The following is a 20077-nucleotide window of genomic DNA, read 5'->3' as shown; positions in this document are numbered from 1 at the left end:
ACTCAATAAATATTAGCTGTGTAAAAAGCTAACTGATTGCTGACTGAGACAGACCAATCAGAGGCACATACAGACTTCTGTGGAGGCACAGAGGAGGAAGAAGCCATTTAGCTGTCTGGAGTAGGGCCGGAGGGGAACCAGAACATTTCAGAGAAGGCGTTATTTAGAAACCCAGTCACAAGGCAGGAGGGAATAGGTGAAAGATGAGAAAGCATAGAGTATTGAGGAAATAATGGGGAGCAATTTACAGCTGGAATTTAGGGCGGCTGCTTGTGGGCCTGTGGTTTTCCACGGAAGAAGCAGCCAGGGCTCAACTCTCCAGCAGCCTCGTCATCTCCAGCCATCCTGGCCATCTGTAGTTCTTAGGAAACACCAGGTTTTTTCCCACTTGTGGACCTTTGCAACCGATGTTTCCTTTGCCTAGAACTCTTCTCATGGCCATTTCTGTTTCATGTTTTAGGCAGAATAAATGTTACCACCTCAGAAAGACCTTCTGTGACATCCGCCTCTGCTCCTGACTCAGTCACAACACCTGGGTTATTTCTTTCTCAACAATTTCGTATTGGGCTGGGTGCCAGTGGCTCGTGCCTGTAATCCCAGCACTTTGGGAGGCCGAGGCGGCCAACCCGGCCAACATGGTGAAACCCTATGTCTATTAAAAATACAAAAATTAGCTAGGTGTGGTGGTGGACCCCGTCTCTACTAAAAATGTAAAAATTAGCTGAGCGTGGTAGTGGGCACCTGTAATTTCAGCTACTTGGGAGGCTGAGGCAGGATAATCATTTGAACCCGGGAGGCAGAAGTTGCAGTGAGCCAAGATAACACCACTGCCCTCCAGCCTGAGTGACAGAGCAAGACTCTGTCTCAAAAAAAAGAACAGGCTGGGCGCGGTGGCTCACGCCTGTAATCCCAGCACTTTGGGAGGCCGAGGCGGGCGGATCACGAGGTCAGGAGATCGAGACCATCCTGACTAACATGGTGAAACCCCGTCTCTACTAAAAATACAGAAAAATACTAAAAATACAGGGAGTGGTGGCAGGCGCCTGTAGTCCCAGCTACTCGGGAGGGTGAGGCAGGAGAACAGGGTGAACCCGGGAGGCGGAACTTGCAGTGAGCTGAGATCGCGCCACTGCCCTCCAGCCTGGGTGACAGAGCGAGACTCCATCACAAAAAAAAAAAAAACAATTTTGTATTTGTCCAATCCGTAACTTTACTGCTTGATTGGTTGCGTATCTCTTTGTTTTCCCCCAAGTAGAATGTAAACTCCACGAGGGTACAGGCCTTGTCTATCTAGTTTATCACCATATCTCCACACATAGCCAGCTGGCATAGTGCCTTCTACATAATCAGCACTTAGTAAATATTTATTTTTAATTAATCTTTTTTTTTTTTTGAGACAAGGTCTCACTCTTTCACCCAGGCTGGAGTGCAGTGGCACAATCACTGCAGCTTCAACCTCTCAGGCTCAAGGGATCCACCCTCAGCCTCCCAAGTAGCTGGGACTACAGACACACACCACCATGCTCAGCTAATTTTTCATATATATATATATATATTTGTAGAGATAGAGTTTTGTCAAATTGCCCAGGCGGGTCTTGAACTGCTGGACTCAAGTGATCCACCCGCCTTGGCTTCCCAAAGTGTTAGGATTATAGACATGAGCCACCGTGCCCAGCCAGTAAATATTTATTGAACGAATGAACGACAAATGAAGGGCCCGCCTTGCTATATTAAGAACTTAAGACTTCTTCCTGTGTACTGCATGGGAATGACATGATCAGATTTCTATTTTAGAATGATAACTTGGTGACATCATAGCAGATGATTAGAAGGAAGATTAGATTACAGCATGTCAGAGATTGTGGCATTTGTCCAAGCAGGATATGATGAGCATCTGTAAGTAGGCTAAGTGTACAAAAGCCAGTATCCCTAAAGAAAGCAGGAGGAAGGAACTGATAAAGTCAAATAAAAACAGAGCATTGTTTACTTGTGTTTATTTATTATTTGTTTATTTATATTTTTTTTTGAGACAGAGTCTCACTCTATAGCTCAGGCTGGAGTGCAGTGGGGAGATCTCGGCTCACTACAACCTCTGCCTCCCGGGTTCAAGTGATTCTCCTGCCTCAGCCTCCCGAGTAGCTGGGATTACAGGCACGTACCACCACACCCGGCTAATTTTTTTTATTTTTAGTAGAGATGGGGTTTCACCATGTTGGCCAGGCTGGTCTTGAACTCCTGACCTCAAGTGATCCACCCGCCTTGGCCTCCCAAAGTGTTGGGATTACAGACATGAGCCACCGCGCCTGGCCTTGTTTACTTGTATTTAGTTCTTGTTCTAGAAGAGATCCAAGATAACTTAATTAAATATATATATATAACAAAATAAAATAAAGATAAGTGGACGAGGAACATATACAAAGGGAGAGGAAAAGAGAAAATGCAGTTAGGAATGAGATTAGTATACAAAATGCTGGTTTTGAAGTTTTTCCTTTGCTAGAGGTAGGCCATAGATTTAGGAGGGTTTTGGGGGAGGTTTTTGGTTTTTTCCCCCAGCCAGTGCAAAGAGAGGGGCACATAATAAGTTCATGTGATTAAAAAATGAATTGTAGGCTGGGTGTGGTGGCTCACACCTGTAATCCTAGCACTTTGGGAGGCCGAGGCAGCCAGATTGCTTGAAGTCAGGAGTTTGAGATCAGCCTGGCCAACATGGTGAAGCCCTGTCTCTACTAAAAATACAAAAATTAGCCCAGCATGATGGTGCTCACCTGTAGTCCCAGCTACTCGGGAGGCTGAGGCAAGAGAATCGCTTGAACCTGGGAGGTGGAAATTGCAGTGAGCTGAGATCTCACCACTGCACTTCAGCCTGGGTGACAGAGCAAGACTCTATCTTAAATAATAATAATAATAATAATTATAGACGGGTGCAGTGGCTCACGCCTCTAATCCCAGCACTTTGGGAGGCCAAGGCGGGCAGATCACGAGGTCAGGAGATCGAGACCATCCTGTCCAACATGGTGAAATACCGTCTCTACTGAAAATACAAAAATTAGCTGGGCGTGGTGGCATGCACCTGTAGTTCCAGCTACTCGAGAGGCTGAGGCAGGAGAATCGCTTGAACCCGGGAGGCAGAGGTTGCAGTGAGCTGAGATCATGCCATTGTACTCCAGCCTGGTGACAGAGCGAGACTCTGTCTCAAAAAAATAATAATAAAAAAATAAAATAAAATAAAAAAAGAATTGTAGTATATACAATGGAATACTACTCAGTAGTAAAAAGAAATGAACCATTGATACACATAACATAGATGAATCTCAAAATAATTATGCTGAGTGAAAGAACCCAGACCAAAAAAGGGTATAAGCTATATGATTTCATTCCATATCAAATTCTAGAAAATGCAAACTCATGAAAGAGAAAGCAGATCAGTGATCACTTGAGGATGGAGGCAAGAAGGAGTAATGAGATGGGATGGGTTATAAAAGGCAGGAAAAACTTTTAGTGGTGAGGAAAATGTTTTATCATCTTGATTATGGTGATAGTTTCACAGGTATAAGCATATATAGAAATGTATCTGTTTATATGCTGTAAATACCTGCAACTTAACTGTATACCAGTTATCCCCAATAAAGCTAGAAAAAATTTAGACAAACCTCTGGCAAAGCAGTCTTAGACATAGCTCAGGTAAATCCTCAATGAGCATGAAGGTATCTCAGTAAGTAAAAGTAAAAGACTTTCTTTTATTATTATTATTTTTTCTTTTTTTAAATTTTTTCAGACCTGGTCAACAGGAAGTAATTTTTTTTTTTTTATGGTGTCTCACTCTGCTGCCCAGGCTGGAGTACAGTGGCGCCATCTCAGCTCACTGCAACCTCCGCCTCTGGGGTTCAAGCGATTCTTCTGCCTCAGCCTCCTGAGTAGCTGGGACTACAGGTGCATGCCAACACGCCTGGCTAATTTTTGTATTTTTAGTAGAGATGGGTGTGTTAATCAGGGTTCTCCTAGAGGGACAGAACTAATAGGATATATATGTAGACACACACATAATGGGGTTATATATGTGTGTGTGTATATATATACATATACACACATAATGGAGAGTTTATTAACTATTAACTTACATGATCACGAGGTCCCACAATAGGCTGTCTGCAAGCTGAGGAGCAAGGAGAGCCAGTCCCAGTCCCAAAACTGAGGAACTTGGAGTCTGATGTTCAAGGGCAGGAAACATCTAGCACAGGAGAAAGTTGTAGGCTGGGGCCAGGGTTGATGATCACACCTGTAATCCTAACACTTTGGGAGGCTGAGGTGGGCAGATCACCTGAGATCAGAAGTTCAAGACCAGCCTGGCCAAAATGGGGAAATCCCACCTCTACTAAAAATATAAAAAATAGCCAGGTGTCATGGGGGGCACCTGTAATCCCAGCTACTCAGGAGGCTGAGGCAGGAGAATTGCTTGAACCTGAGAGGCAGAGGTTGCAGTGAGCTGACATTGAGCCACTGCACTCCAGCCCAGGCGACAGAGTGAGACTGTCTCAAAAATAAAAAAGAAAGATGTAGCCTGGGAGGCCAGGCCCATCTCTCCTTTTCATGTTTTCCTGCCTGCTTTATATTCACTGGCAGCTGATTAGATCATGCCCACCAGATTAAGGGTGGATCTGCCTTCTCCAGCCCACTGACTCAAATGTTAATCTCTTTTGGCAATACCCTCACAGACAAACCCAGGATCAATACTTTGTATCCTTCAATCCAATCAAGTTGACACTCAGTATTAACCATCACAATGGGGTTTCACCATGTTGGCCAGGCTGGTCTTGAACTCCTGACCTCAGATGATCCACCCACCTCGGCCTCCCAAAGTGGGGGGATTTCAGGTGTGAGCCACCTCGCCCAGCCTAGGAAATAATTTTTTGTTGTTGTTGTTGAGATGAAGTTTTGCTCTTGTTGCCCAGGCTGGAGTGCTGTGGCGCAATCTCAGCTCACCACAACCTCCGCCTCTTGGGTTCAAGTGATTCTCCTGCCTCAGCCCCTGAGTAGCTGGGATTACAGGCATGCACCACCACGCCCAGCTAATTTTGTATTTTCAGTAGAGACGAGGTTTTTCCATGTTGGCTAGGCTGGTCTCGAACTCCCAACTTCAGGTGATCCACCTGCCTTGGCCTCCCAAAGTGCTGGGATTACAGGCGTGAGCCACCACATCTGGCCGACTTTTTTTTTTTTTTTTTTTTTTTTTAAGACAAGATCTCACTGAGTCACCTAGGCTGGAGTGCAGTGGTACATTCATAGTTCACTGCAACCTTGAACTTCAGGGTTCAAGCATTTCCCACCTCACCCTCCCAAGTAGCTAGGACGCAAGGATAAGCCATCTTGCCTGACTAATTTTTTTTTTTTTTTTAAGTAGAGATGAGGTATCTTCCTATGTTGTTCAGACTAGTCTCAAACTCCTGGTGTCAAGTGATCCTTTTGCCTTGGCCTACTAAGGTGTTGGGATTATAGCCATAAGCCACTGTGTCCGGCCTGTTTTAAAAATAGAAATTGACAAGCTGTTCCTAAAATTTATATGTAAATGGAAAGGACCTGGAATAGCCAAACTATTATTTTAAAAAGGTAAGGCTGGGCACGGTGGCTCACGCCTATAATCCCAGTACTTTGGGAGGCAGAGGAGGGTGGGTCACCTGAGGTCAGGAGTTCAAGACCAGCCTGGCCAACATGTGAAACCCTCTCTACTAAAAACAAAAAAATCAGCCTGGTGTGGTGGCACATGCCTGTAATCCCAGCTACTCAGGAGGCTGAGGCAGGAGAATCTCTTGAACCTAGGATCCGGAGGTTGCAGTGAGATGAGATGGCGCCACTGCACTCCAGCCTGGGTGACAGAGTGAGACTCTCCCTCAAAATATATAAATAAATAAATTAAATTAAATAAACCCATGACAAGATGCCATTTCACAACCTCCATATGGGAAAAAAAAAAAATTAAAGCCAGGTGTGGTGGCTCACACCAGTAATTCCAACATTTTAAGAGGCTTAGGTGGAAGAATCACTTGAGGCTGAGAGTTTAACAGCCTGGGCAACATAGTGAGGTCCCCATTTCCAGAAAAAAAAAACCCAATAAAATTAAAAATTCAGACAATGTCAAGTGTTGGGTAGGATGTAGAGCAATAGGAACTCTCTCCCACTGCTGGCAAGACTGTAAACTGGTATAACCCCTTTAGAAACAAAATTGAATGTGCACATATCCTAGATGCAGCAATCCAACTGCAGTTATTATAAAAGAAAAATTGTCCTAAACCTGGCTTGGGGTGGAATATTTTTGGGTAATGTAATTCATAACCTCCTCAAGGAAGACAGTAGTATTCCTAATAAAATATTTGGGCCAGGAATGTTGTCTGATGCCTGTAATCCCAGCGCTCTGGAAAGCCAAGTTGGGAGGATCACTTGAGGCTAGGAGTTTGAGACCAGTCTGGACAACATAGCAAGACCCTCCATCTCCACAAAACTTAAAAAAAATTACTTCATGTGGTGGCATGCACCTGTAGTCTTAACTATTTGGTGGCTGAGGCAGGCGGATCCTTGAGCCCAGGAGTCAAGGCTACAGTGAGCTATGATCATACCACTGCTCTCCAACCTGGGTGACAGAAGGAGATTCTGTCTCCCACCCTGCCCCACAACAAAAAATTTAAGCAATTTTTTTTTTTTTTTTGAGATGGAGTCTCACTCTGTTGCCTAGGCTGGAGTGCAGTGGTGCCATCTCAGCTTACTGCAACCTCTGCCTCCCGGGTTTAAGCGATTATCCTAGCTGGGACTACAGGTGCGCACCACCACGCACAGCTAATTTTTGTATTTTTAGCAGAGACAGGGTTTCACCGTGTTGGTCAGGCTGGTATCAAACTCCTGACCTCGTGATCCGCCCGCCTTGGCCTCCCAAAGTGCTAGGATTACAGGTGTGAACAACTGCGCCTGGCCTGAAGCAATTTTTTGATAGTTTCTAATCGAATTAAGACCTCTCCTGAGAAGCTAGATACCCACTCATGAAGATGATTATCAGCTGTCAGTCAAGAGTCTAAAGATCTTTAATTAGGCATTTCTTTTGTATACAGTCTAAACAGTGATTATGTAGTCATTTTCCCCCATTGTTTCTACCAAGAGAGAAATCTTTGACTTAGTCTGTCAGAGGCCTTTGTTCTTGTAGCAAGACTATAGTGAAACTTTGTCACATGTTCATAATCAAATTGCCTGAAAGTATTTTTATTTTTAAATGTTTTCTACTATTTATTTTTTGAAGCAGGGTCTTGCTCTGTCGCCCAGGCTGGAGTGCACTGGCATGATCATAGCTCACTGCAGCCTTGCCTTCCCAGGCTCAAGTGATCCTCCCTCCTCTGCTTCCCAAATAGCTGGGACCAACAGGCATGCACCACCACACCCAGCTAATTTATTATTTTTTTTTTGTTGCAACAGAAGTCTCACTATGTTGCCTAGGCTGGTGTTGAATTCCTGGACTTAAGTGATCCTCCTGTCTCGGCCTCCCAAAGTGTTGAGATTACAGGCGCGAACCACTGTGCCTGGCTGAAAAGATTTTTAAACACCTCATACCCTAGAGAATCTCTTGCGCATGTGTGCCAGGAGAGATGAACAAGAATGTTTATATCGGCATTATTCAGAATAGCAATAACTGTAAACATATATTCTATCAACAGAAAAATGGACAATTGTAGAAGGTTCATCCTGTGCAACAATGAATACATATCAACTCTAGGATACACATCAATATGCATGAATCACAAAAGAAAAGTCTCAGAAGAATGCATGCATTATTTGTTAGCTTATTATAATGAGTTCAAAAACAGATGAGACGGCAGGGCGTGGTGGTTCACACCTGTAATCCCAGCACTTTGGGAGGCCGAGGCAGACCAGTCACCTGAGGTCAGGAGATTGGTCAGTTCAAGACCAGCCTGGCCAACCTGGTGAAACCCTATCCCTACCAAAAATAAAAAAATTAGCTGGGCGTGGTGGCATGAGCCTGTAGTCCCAGCTAGTCAGGAGGTTGTGGCAGGAGAATTGCTTGAACACGGGAGGCGGAGGTTGCAGTGGGCAGAGATCACACCACTGTACTCCAGCTTGGGAGACAGAGTGAGACTCCGTCTCAATAAATAAATAAATAAATAAATAAATAAATAAATAAATTAAATTAAATAAAAGTAGCCAGGCATGGTGGCACATGCCTGTAATCCCAGGCTCTCGGGAGGCTGAGGCAGGAGAATCACTTGAATCCAGGAGGCGGAGGTTGCAGTGAGGCAAGATCGCACCACTGCACTCCAGCCTGGGTGACAGAGTGAAACCCTGTCTCAAAAAACCCCCCAAGAAACCAGATGAGACTAAATGTTATTTAGATATATGTACTTATATGTGATAAAGATGAGCACAAAAGTCAGAAGGGTGGTTACCTCTTGAGGAGCGGTGAGGGGATGATGGGGCACATCAGAGAAATTGATAAAGCTCCATTTCTTGTCATAGTTGGACATTCTTCTTATTATTTGAATTCTACATGTACGTGATATACATGAGTATAGCAATAAAGAGTTAAAATCACTCTTGCTGCCCTGAGGATGTAGTTTGGGAGGTGGTGGGGGGAGACTCTGGTGAGTTCAGTGGATGTGGGAAGAAGTTCAGGACATCTGAGGTCATTATCCATCCTTTTGTTTTGAGCTCTACCACTTGCTAGCTGTGTGACCCTGAGTGAGTTACTTACACTCACCCTCAATTTTCTCAGCAGAAAAATGTGGACAATAAAAGTGCTTGCCTTTTTGTGAAGGCTGTTAGACAAAGTTTGCAAAGTTCATCTCAGCACAGTGCCTGGTGCTTAGTAAACACTCAGGACTACCACATAGGGCTGCACAGGAAGAAGGGATTTTTGTTTTCTAATTCACTCAGAGGCATTGACAAAGATTCTTTGCTTGGACAAACTTCAGTCAGGCTTCTGAACCTTCTCCAGAGGCCCATCTGTGCACTTCCTTATAAATCCAGTTTTAGCAAAAGAACTCTTCTAAGTGATTTTAGCCAGAACCCTGTATCTTGATATCTGATCATCTTCAATATCTGATTAGGTTTCTCATCCCCCATCATCCTCCAGCTGATGTTGGGTCACCTTGGCCTGTCTTCAGCAAGAGTCCTGTTAGGTGGGTTTGGCCAGAATCCCCCTTACTCCTCTTAGTAATTTTCCATCCACTGACCTCCACCCTGCTTCTTGGCTGTAAATTCCCCCTTGCCCATGCTGTATTTAGAGTTGAGTCCAATCTCTCTCCCCTATAGCAAAATCCCATTACAGTGGTTCCTATACCCATCTTGATGGTCCCAGATAAAGTCTTGCTTACTGTCCTTTAACAAGTATTATTGAATAACTTTTAACAGCATCAGGCAGCTTTCCAAGTTCTGGGCCTAATAGGTTGTGTCTGTCCAGGAGAGGCTTCGTTTTCTTCTTGGCACAAAGGTTAGTGGTGCCCCTGAAAATGCTGAGAAAAATAACATTTACCACAAGCATGCTGATAAGAGGGATATAAATATTGAGATAAATAGTACCATCAGGGAAAGAAATGAGGCCTGCCACATAAGCTGAGAAATTTGAGTGCTCCTGCTATGGTTGAGAGCCTGCCAGTCCACCCTAAACTCCGTCAAAGTCTTTCCCCACTTGTATGAGGCTGGAGTAGCTTGGCGGCCTCTCAAGCCTGAGGGTACAAAATAGTGCCCCTTAGTTAATTGCATTAACTCTTTCTCACTGCCCGGTATATATGACACATGCCTCCTGCCCCCTAGTGGCTGTTGTGGATTCTGCACACTCCCAGGAGCTAAACAAGAATTCTGTTTCTGGAGGGAGCCTTACCGGGTATAGCTCAAAACAAGCACAGACAGATCCAATCTGAAAAGCACATTTGCATATGAAGGTACCATTATTTACTCTCTTATGCTTCTGTATTTCTAGCAGCTCTGCCCGCCCCCCCCATAGGAACTTACAGAGCAGTGCTTTAGAGAAAAGCAAATCAAACACGCCATACCATTTTCAGATTCCCTTAAAATCCTATACAGATTTACCAGGATTTTTTTCCCCTTTGGAGTTGAGTGTTGCATCTGTTCTCCTTCTGTGAACACATCACATACTAGATCTGTTTCTCCTTATCCTGAGTCACCAGAGACTTCATCATGTTGGTTTTAGGGGCCTAAGATGGAGCCAAAAATGCCCACTTGAACATTTTTTTCAGGCTGGGTGTGGTGGCTCACACCTGTAATCCCAGCACTTTGGGAGGCCGAGGCAGGAGGATCACCTGAGGTCGGGAGTTCCAGACCAACCTGACCAACATGGAGAAACCCTGTCTTTACTAAAAATACAAAATTAGCTGAGTGTGGTGGTGTATGCCTGTAATCCCAGCTACTCGGGGGGCTGAGGCAGGAGAATCGCTTGAACCCAGGAGGAACAGGTTGCAGTGAGCTGAGATCGCACCATTGCACTCCAGCCTGGGCAACAGAGCGAGACTCCGACTCAAAAACAAAAATTCAGCTGGGTGCAGTGGCTTATGTCTGTAATCCTAGCGCTTTGGGAGGCCAAGGTGGGTGGATCAATTGAGCCCAGGAGCTCGAGACCAGCCTGGGCAACATGGCAAAATTCCATATTTACAAAAAAAATTAATGAGTCGTGGTAGCCTGCATCTGTGGTCCCAGCTACTTGGGGGGCTGGGGTGGGAGGATCCCCTGAGCTGGGGAGGTCGAGGCTGCAGTGAGCTGAAATCTTGCCACTGCACTCCAGCCTGGGCACCAGTGAGGCCCTGTCTCAAAAAAAATTTTTTATTTTTTAAATTGTGAAAAACACATACATACACAAAAGTTTGGGCACGGTGTCTCACACCTGTAATCCCAAAACTTTGGGAGGCTGAGGTGGGCAGATCACCTGAGGTCAGGAGTTCGAGACCAGCCTGGCCACCATACAGTGAAACCCCATCTCTACTAAAAAATACAAAAATTAGCTGGGTGTGGTGGTGCACTCCTATAGTCTCAGCTACTTGGGAATCTGAGGCAGGAGAACTGCTTGAACCTGGGAGGTGGAGGTTGCAGCGAGCCGAGATCATGCCATTGCACCCCAGCCTGTGTGACAGAACAAGACTCCATCTCTCAAAAAAAACAAAAACAAAAAACAAAAAACAAAAAAAACCCACGAAAGTTACCGTTTTAACTCTTTTTAAGTGTACAGTTCAGTGGCATTAGGTATGTTCACACTGTTGTGCTCCCATCACCACCATCCCTCTCCAGAATTTTTTTCTTCTTCCCTAACTCTATACCCATTAAAGAACTTCTGGCTGGGCGCAGTGGCTCACATCTGTAATCTCAGCACTTTGGAAGGTCAAGGCGGGTGGATCACCTGAGGTCAGGAAGTCAAGATGAGCCTGGCCAACATGGTGAAACCCCGTCTCTCCTAAAAACACAAAAAAATTAGCTGGGCATGGTGGCAGGAACCTGAAATGCCAGCTACTCAGGAGGCTGAGGCATGAGAATTGCTTGAACCTGGGAGGCAGAGGTTGCAGTGAGCCGAGACTGGGCCACTGCACTCCAGCCTGGCCTAGAGAGCAAGACTCGGTCTCAAAAAAACCAAACCAAAACAAAAAACTCCCTAATCCCCCTACGCCCAGCCCGTAGTAACCACCATCCTACTTTTTGTCTACTGATTTGACTACTCTAGGTACAAAAACGACCACTTTTGATTTTCATGAGTGGGCGTCGATATTGGGACTCTGCTGCCGTATTGTCCATCCACAATGTGCAAATGATGAGGCATTCTTTCTTTATTCATTCTGCTTGTGCTTTAAAGTCCAGGAAGAATTCTTTTTTTGTGTGGTAAAATATATGCTGTATAACATAAAATTTTAACTATATAAGTGCACAATTCAGTGGCAGTAAATATATTCACAATGTGCAGCCATCACCACTCTTTCCAGAACTTTTTCATCACCCCAAACAGAAACACATTAACAATAACTCGGGCCAGGTGCAGTGGCTCACGCCTGTAATCCCAACACTTTGGGAGGCCAAGGTGGGCGGATCACCTGAGGTCGGGAGTTCCACACCAGCCTGACAAACATGGAGAAACCCTGTCTCTATTAAAAATACAAAATTAGCCTGGTGTGGTGGCTCACGCCTGTAATCCCAGCTACTTGGGAAGCTGAGGCAGGAGAATCGCTTGAACCCAGGAGGCAAAGGTTGCAGTGAGCTGAGATCGTATCATTGCACTCCAGCCTGGGCGACAAGAGTGAAACTTCGTCTCAAAAAACAAAACAAAACAAAACAAAAAACAGTAACTCCCCACTCCCTCCTCCCTCAGCCCCTGGCAATCTCTATTCTACTTTCTGTCTTTATGAATTTGAATTCAGGAAGAATTTATTTATTTTTTTGAGATGAAGTTCCACTGTTTTTGCCCAGGCTGGAGTGCAGTGGTGCGATCTTGTCTCACTGCAGTGTCCACCTCCCGGGTTCAAACAGTTCTCCTGCCTCAGCCTCTCGAGTAGCTGGGATTACAGGCGCCCGCCACCATGCCTGGCTAATTAAATTCAGGAAGAATTTAATGTCATATATGGTAGGGAAATTTGCTCAGTTAGAATGGCTACAGAATGGGTTTTTCATTGTCTACATATGACATTTTAGTTCAGAAAACAGCATATATTGAATAAAAGTTATAAATCAGGAGTGGTGGCTTCTGGCACTTTGGAAGACTGAGGTGGGAGGATGCCTTGAGCCCAGGAGTTCAAGGCTGCAGTGAGCTGTGATCATGCCACTGCACTCTAGCCTGGGTGACAGAGTTAGACCCTGTTTCAGAAAAAAAAAAAAAATAGATGTTATGATTTAGCAAGTCTTATCAAAACCTACCCAAACTCAATGTATGTTACTAAGAGGGTATAATACAGATGATGAAAATATTTTCCAAAGGACCCAAGAAAGCATATAAGATCCTGTGATAAGTGTTTTGAGTTTATTCTGTTTCTCTAGTTATATATTTTTTCATTTATAACATATAAATGTAATTTTGTTTTATCTTTCTTCTTTATCAGGCCACCTAGACAGGAGTAATAAAAATATATATACCTATACACACATCCTGGCAAAAGTCCTAAATTCCACGGGAAAAGAGAGAGGTGCACAAGTTTTCACATTGAAGGAAGAGGCTGTTGTATAAAAGGAAAACAAAACTAGCATTAGAATTCTCCTTCCAGCCAGGCATGGTGGCTCACACCTGTAATCCCAGCACTTTGGGAGGCCAAGGTGGGAGGATCACAAGGTCAGGAGTTCGAAACCAGCCTGGCCAACATAGTGAAACCCCATCTCTACTAAAAATACAAAAATTAGCCGGGTGTGGTGGCGCATGCCTGTAGTCCCAGCTACTGGGGAGACTGAGAAAGGAGAATCGCTTGAACCCAAGAGGCGGAAGTTGTGGCGAGCCAAGATCGCGCCACTGTACTCCAGCCTGGGCAACAGAGCGAAAGTCAGTCCCAAAAATAAAAATAAAAACAAACAAACAAACAAACAAACAACTCATTTCCAGCCAGCACAGTGACTCATGCCTGTAATCCCAGCACTTTGGGAGGCTGAGGTGGGCAGACTGCTTGAGCCCAGGAGTTCGAGACCAGCCTGGCCAACATGGTGAAACCCTGTCTCTAGAAAAAATATAAAAATTAGCCGGGCATGGTGGTGCATGCCTGTGGTCCCAGCTACTTGAGAGGCTGAGGCATGAGAATCACTTGAACCAAGCTGGCGGAGGCTGTAGTGAGCTGAGATCGCACCACTGCAAAAACGAGACTCTGGAGAAAAAAAAAAAAAGGCTCAAACCTATAATCCCAGTGCTTTGGGAGGCTGAGGCAGGAGAATCACTCTAGCCCAAGAGTTCGAGACCAGCCCGAGCAAAATAATAAGATCCCTGTCTCTACAGAAATAAACAAATAAAATGAAAAAATAGCTGAGCGTGGTGGTCCCAGCTACAGGGGCTGCTGAGGTGGGAGGATCCCTTGAGCCAAAGAATTCAAGGCTGCAACGAGCCATGATCAAGCTGCTGAACAACAGCCTAGGTGACAAAGTGAGACCATGTCTCAAAAAAAATTCTGTCCCCAGACAAAATGTCATTCATCTTTTGGGGCAAAAGCAGATGATTCAAGCACTTATGTACCCAGTATCACCCATGCACCCTACCTGAGGAAAATACTTAAAAGTTCTCTAGGCTGGGCCCAGTGGCTCACACCTGTAATCCCAGCATTTTGGGAGGCCAAGGCGGGCAGATTACGAGGTGAGGAGTTCAAGACCAGCCTGGACAACACGGCAAAATCCCGTCTCTACTAAAAATACAAAAATTAGCTGGGCATGGTGGTGGGTGCTTGTAATTCCAGCTACTCGGGAGGCTGAGGCAGGAGAATCGCTTAAACCTAGGAGGTGGAGGTAGCAGTGAGCCGAGATTGTGCCACTGCACTCCAGCCTGGGCAACAAGAATGAAATTCAGTCTCAAAAAAAAAAAAATTATCTAATCAATCCCTAATCATATTTAAAAAGAGACCTCAGGCGGAGTGCGGTAGCTCACACCTGTAATCCCAGCACTTTGGAAGGCTGAGGCGGGTGGAACACTTGAGGTCAGGAGTTCGAGATGAGCCTGGCCAACATGGTGAATGCAACTACGTCTCTACTAAAAATACAAAAATTAGCTGGGTATAGTGGTGTACCCCGCTAGTCCCAGTGACTCGAGATGCTGAGGCAGGAGAATTGCTTGAACCTGGGAGGCGGAGTTTACAGTGAGCCAAGATCATGCCATTGCACTTCAGCCTGGGCGACAGAGCGAGACACCATCTCAAAAAAAATAAATAAAGTAAAATAAAATAAAAAGAGACCTCAGTATTGGGTAGATGGTGAGCACAATGCTTGTTGTGAACAATTGATCTTGTAATAAATATATCTAAATAGATAGTTCATTCAACAAATATTTTGAGTACTGGGCTCAGTTCTTGGCTCTGTGGACACAAAAGAACAACAAAAGTAATCAGCAATTCTTGGAGCTGGTCTTATGGTTATGATACCAAATAAGAAATAGAAAGTGTAAATGTTCATGAAGGAGTCTTCAAAAGAAAGTATACTTCAGAGAGGCTGGGCACTTTTCCACTTTCAGTGGGAAAGTGAGGAACTAAAAATCTCAATTTCCAAAATTTTCCTCTAGGTGAAGGTTGGGGAGTGAGTGAGTGGATAAAATATTTTGGGAAACATATTTGTTGATCAATTTGGCAACATTACTAGAGGAACACAGGTTTTATCATAACTACTAGATATGAGAAGGGAAACCACCACCATTATAGAGACAAATGATAGAATTTCCAAATCAACAGAAGGCAAAAAGGGAACACAGAAAACTTTTCCAAGTCAATATAAAGAAAAAGATAAGGGCCGGGCGTGGTGGCTCACATCTGTAATCCCAGCATTTTGAGAGGCTGAGGTGGGTGGATCATGAAGTCAGGAGCTCGAGACCAGCCTGAACAACATGGTGAAAGGCTGTCTCTACTAAAAATACAAAAATTAGCTGTGCGTGGTGGCATGCGCCTTTAATCCCAGCTACTCGGGAGGCTGAGGCAGGAGAATTGCTTGAACCCGGAAGGTGGAGGTTGCAGTGAGCCGAGATCATGCCATTGCACTCCAGCCTGGGCAACAAGAGCGAAACTCCATCTCAAAAAAAAAAAAAAAAAAAAAAAGTAGATTGAATTTTTAAAAAGTTCACCTATTAATTATTTTCATTTAAAAGTGTTGGCTGGGCATGGCGGCTCACATCTATAATCCCAGCACTTTGGGAGGCCAAGGCAGGCGGACCACTTGAGGCCAGGAGTTTGAGGCCAGGAGTTTGAGACCAGCCCGGGCAACATGGAGAAACCTCATCTCTAGTAAAAACAAAAATTAGCTGGGCATGGTGTCGGGTGCCTGTAATCCCAGCTACTCAGAGGCTGAGGCAGGAGAATAGCTTGAATCCAGGAGGCAAAGGTTGCAGTGAGCCGAGATTATGCCACTGCACTCCAGCCTGGGTGACTGAGTGAGACACCATCTCAAAAAACAAAAACAAATACAAAAACAAAAATCAAGTGATCGCTGGGCGCAGTGGCTCGTGCCTGTAATCCCAGCACTTTGGGAGCCCGAGGCGGGCAGATCATCTGAGGTTGGGGGTTTGAGACCAGCCTGACCAACATGGAGAAATCCTGTCTCTACTAAAAATACAAAATTAGGTGGGCATGGTGGCGCATGCCTGTAATCCCAGCTACTCAGGAGGCTGAGGCAGGAGAATAGCTTAAATCCGGGAGGCAGAGGTTGTGGTGAGCTGAGATCACGCCATTGCACTCCAGCCTGGGCAACAAGAGCGAAACTCCATCTCAAAACAACAACAACAATAACAACAACAACAAAAATCAAGTGATCCATTACATGTGGATCCATGTCTCAACCCTCCATTCTGTTCCAGTGATCTGCTTACCTATCCTTAGACCAGTTCCACTTTGTTTAAACTACTTAGCTTATTTCCTTAGTTCTGAAATCAGATACATCAAGTCCTCCAAATTTGTTCTTCTTCAAGATTGTTTTGGCCCTTCTAAGTCATGTGCATATCCACATAAAGTATAGAATTGGCTGTTAATTTCTACAGAAAAGCCTGATGTAATATGCTATATCAATCATATTTCTAAGAAAATCCCTCACTTCCTCCAATTTGATAGCCTTAACCTCATTCCTTTAATTTTCAGTTTTTCACTTCTAGTCTTCTGAGAGTTAGCCTAATGAATAATTTTCATCTTATTCTAGTTACTCCTTGATTTTCCAATGCCATGATTAAATCAACTCAACTTCATTCCCAGAGTCAGACTGTTCCGAGCACATGCCTTTTTTGTTTGTTTGATCGTTCTGAGATCGAGTCTCCCTCTGTCGCCCAGACTGGAGTGCAGTGGCACAATCTTGGCTCACTGCAACCTCCGCCTCCCATGTTCAAGCGATTCTCCTGTCTCAGCCTCCTGAGTAGCTGGGACTATAGGCGCGCACCATCATGCCCGACTAATTTTTTGTATGTTTTAAGTAGAGATGGGGTTTCATCATGTTGGCCAGGGTGGTCTCGAACTCTTGACTTAAAGTAATCCACCCGTCTCGGCCTCCCAAAGTGCTGGGATTACAGGCGTGAGTCACCACGCCCGGCCTCTTTTTTTTTTTTTTTTGAGATGGAGTTTTGTTTCAGGCTGGAGTGCAATCTCACTGCAACCTCCACTTCCCAGGTTCAAGCGATTCTCCTCCCTCAGCCTCCCGAGTAGCTGGGATTACAGGCGCCCACAACCATGCCCAGCTATTTTTTGTAATTTTAGTAGAGACGGGGTTTCACCATGTTGGCCAAGGTGGTCTCGAACTCCTGACCTCAGTGATCTGCCCTCCTTGGCCTCCCAAAGTGCTGGGATTACAGGCATGAGCCACTGTGCCCAGCCAGCACATGCCTTTTTAATTGCGTTCTTGAGTTTTGGGTTTGCAATAACTATTCAATTATTTTCTTCACCTCAAACCTACTTAATGATATAATGTCTTTAAAATAATAGCCTAACTTATGTTGTTGTTCTTCTTCTTCTTTTTTTTTTTTTTTTTTTTTGATACAGAGTTTTGTTCTTGTTGCCCAGGCTGGAGTGCAATGGCCGATCTCAGCTCACTGCAACCTCCACCTCCCGGGTTCAAGTGATTCTCCTGCCTCAGCCTCCTGAATAGCTGGGATTACAGGCATGTGCTACCACGCCTGGCTAATTTTGTATTTTTATTAGAGATGAGGTTTCTCCACGTTGGTCAGGCTGGTCTCAAACTCTTGACCTCAGGTGATCCGGCACCTTGGCCTCCCAAAGTGCTGGGATTACAGGCGTGAGCCACCATGCCCAGCCATGTTCTTCATTTTTAAATTGAGCTAAGTCTTACACACACTGAAGTGTTTTTATGTGTTTTACACACCTCCATAACTACCACCCAGATCAAGATAATGTAGAGAACATATCCAGTATCTTTTTTTTTCTTTGAGACGGAGTCTTACTCTGTTGCCCAGGTTGGAGTGCAATGGTGCAACCTCCGGCTCACTACAACCGCCACCTCCTGAATTCAAGCGATTCTCCTGTCTCAGCCTCCCGAGTAGCTGGGATTACAGGTGCCTGCCAGCATGCCCAGCTAGTTTTTGTATTTCTAGTAGAGACAGGGTTTCCCCATGTTGGCCAGGCTGGTTTCAAACTCCTGCCCACCTCCGCCTCCCAAAGTGCTGGGATTACAGGCATGAGCCACTGTGCCTGGCCATATCCAGCATCTTAGAAGAGTCCTTTGTTCTCTTTCCCAGTTAGTTCTCCTCAAGGATAACCACTCCCCACACCCAGCTTTTTTTTTTTTTTTTTTTTTTTGAGACAAGGTCTCACTCTGTCACCCAGAGTAGAATATGGTGGTGTAATCACAGCTCACCGCAGCTTCCACCTCCTGGTCTCAAACTCCTGGGCTCAAGCGATCTGAGCACCTCGGCCTCCCAATAGTGTTGGGATTAGGCATGAGCCACTGCGCCCGGCCTACGTGCCGTTTTAAAATGATGTTCAAGAATAAGCAAAACCAACCTATGGTGGTAAAAGAACAGTGATCGCCTCTGTTTTCTTTTGCCTGAGGGAAACTCTGGTGTGCTGAAAATGTTCTGTATCTGAAGTGGTGGTGGTCACATAAGCTGTACATCTAAGATATTTGCACGTTGCTGTGTGTAAACCATAATTCCAACAACAACAACGACAAAATGGCAAGGTGGGGCTCGGTGGCTCACGCCTGTAATCCCAACACTTGGGGAGAACTAGGCGGGAGGATCGCTTGAGGCCAGGAGTTAGAGACCAGCCTGGGCAACATAGGGAAACCCGGTATCTACAAAACAACAATAGCAACAATTCGCTGGGGCGGGGGGGGGGGGGGGGGGGCGCCGCCTGTTGTTCCAGCTACTCAGCTACTCCAGAGGCCCAGGCGGCAGGATCGCTTGAGGCCAGGAGTTCTTGGCTACACTGAGCCGAGATCCCGCTACTGCACTCCAGTCTGTCAGATCCTGTATGGAAAAAAAAAAAAAAAGACAAAATAGTTAAACTATGCCTTTAATTCAATAAACTATTAAACTAACAATACCATGAAGAAAATCAGAATAAAGAAGAAAGATAGGCTGACGCAGGAGAATCGCTGGAACGGTGAGGCGGAGGTTGCGTGAACCGAGATCGCGCCACTGCACTCCAGCCTGGCGACAGAGTGAGACTCCAAAAAAGAAAAAAAAAAAAAAAAAAAAAAGAAAGATAGGCTGGGCCCGGTGGCTCAGGCCTGTAATCCCAGCGCTTTGGGAGGCCGAGGCGGATGGATCACCTGAGGTCGGGAGTATTCGGCACCAGCCTGACCAACATGGTGAAACCCCGTCTCTACTAAAAATACAAAATTAGCCGGGTGTGGTGGCGAATGCCTGTAATCCCAGCTACTCAGGAGGCTGAGGCAGGAGAATCGCTTGAACCTGGGAGGCGGAGGTTGCGGTGAGGCGAGATCGCGTCACTGCACTCCAGCCTGGGCAACAAGAGCGAAACTCGGTCTGAAAAAAGAAGAAGAAGGAGAAGGAGAAGAAGACTATCTGGGTTCCATCAACGATTCTCGTGCCTTTTGTCTTTAAACTTTGGTGCTGCCTTCATCAAAATCATACTAATGAAATTCGACGCGCGGGTCATTCATTTAATTAAAATGAAACCCCAAATCTGTTGACTATTGGTATCCTCATGACACTGTTCTATAATGTGACAGAAAAGACGAAGGTGAAGAACTATGGTTTCGGCCGCTGTTACACAGGAGGTAGCAGGTGGCAGGCCGTTTACACAAATTAGCTCGTTTTTGGAGACGAAGTTACCCCAGGCTGCCCGCTCGGATGAGCCTGCGAATTCAGGCCCAACCCAGGCCCCTCCAGGTCGGGAAGGTACGAAGAGCCCGCTGGATTCACACAGGGCAGGGGCGCCTTCGCAGGTGCGAGTGGATTCTGGGTATC

General features: G+C 45.3%; 1 annotated feature.

Moving 5' to 3' along the window:
* Positions 9709 to 9828: a silencer, noted in NCBI's record as "silent region_8219". NCBI's record gives its function as "represses an Ori minimal core promoter by ATAC-STARR-seq in GM12878 lymphoblastoid cells {active_cell/tissue: GM12878}" and the evidence as "EXISTENCE:reporter gene assay evidence [ECO:0000049][PMID:35858748]".

The sequence above is a fragment of the Homo sapiens genome, chromosome 17 (genome assembly GCF_000001405.40).
Source record: "Homo sapiens chromosome 17, GRCh38.p14 Primary Assembly".
Taxonomy (NCBI): Eukaryota; Metazoa; Chordata; class Mammalia; order Primates; family Hominidae; genus Homo; species Homo sapiens.
The sequence above is the reverse complement of the archived record's forward strand: the minus strand, read 5'-3'. Positions and strand labels throughout refer to the sequence as shown.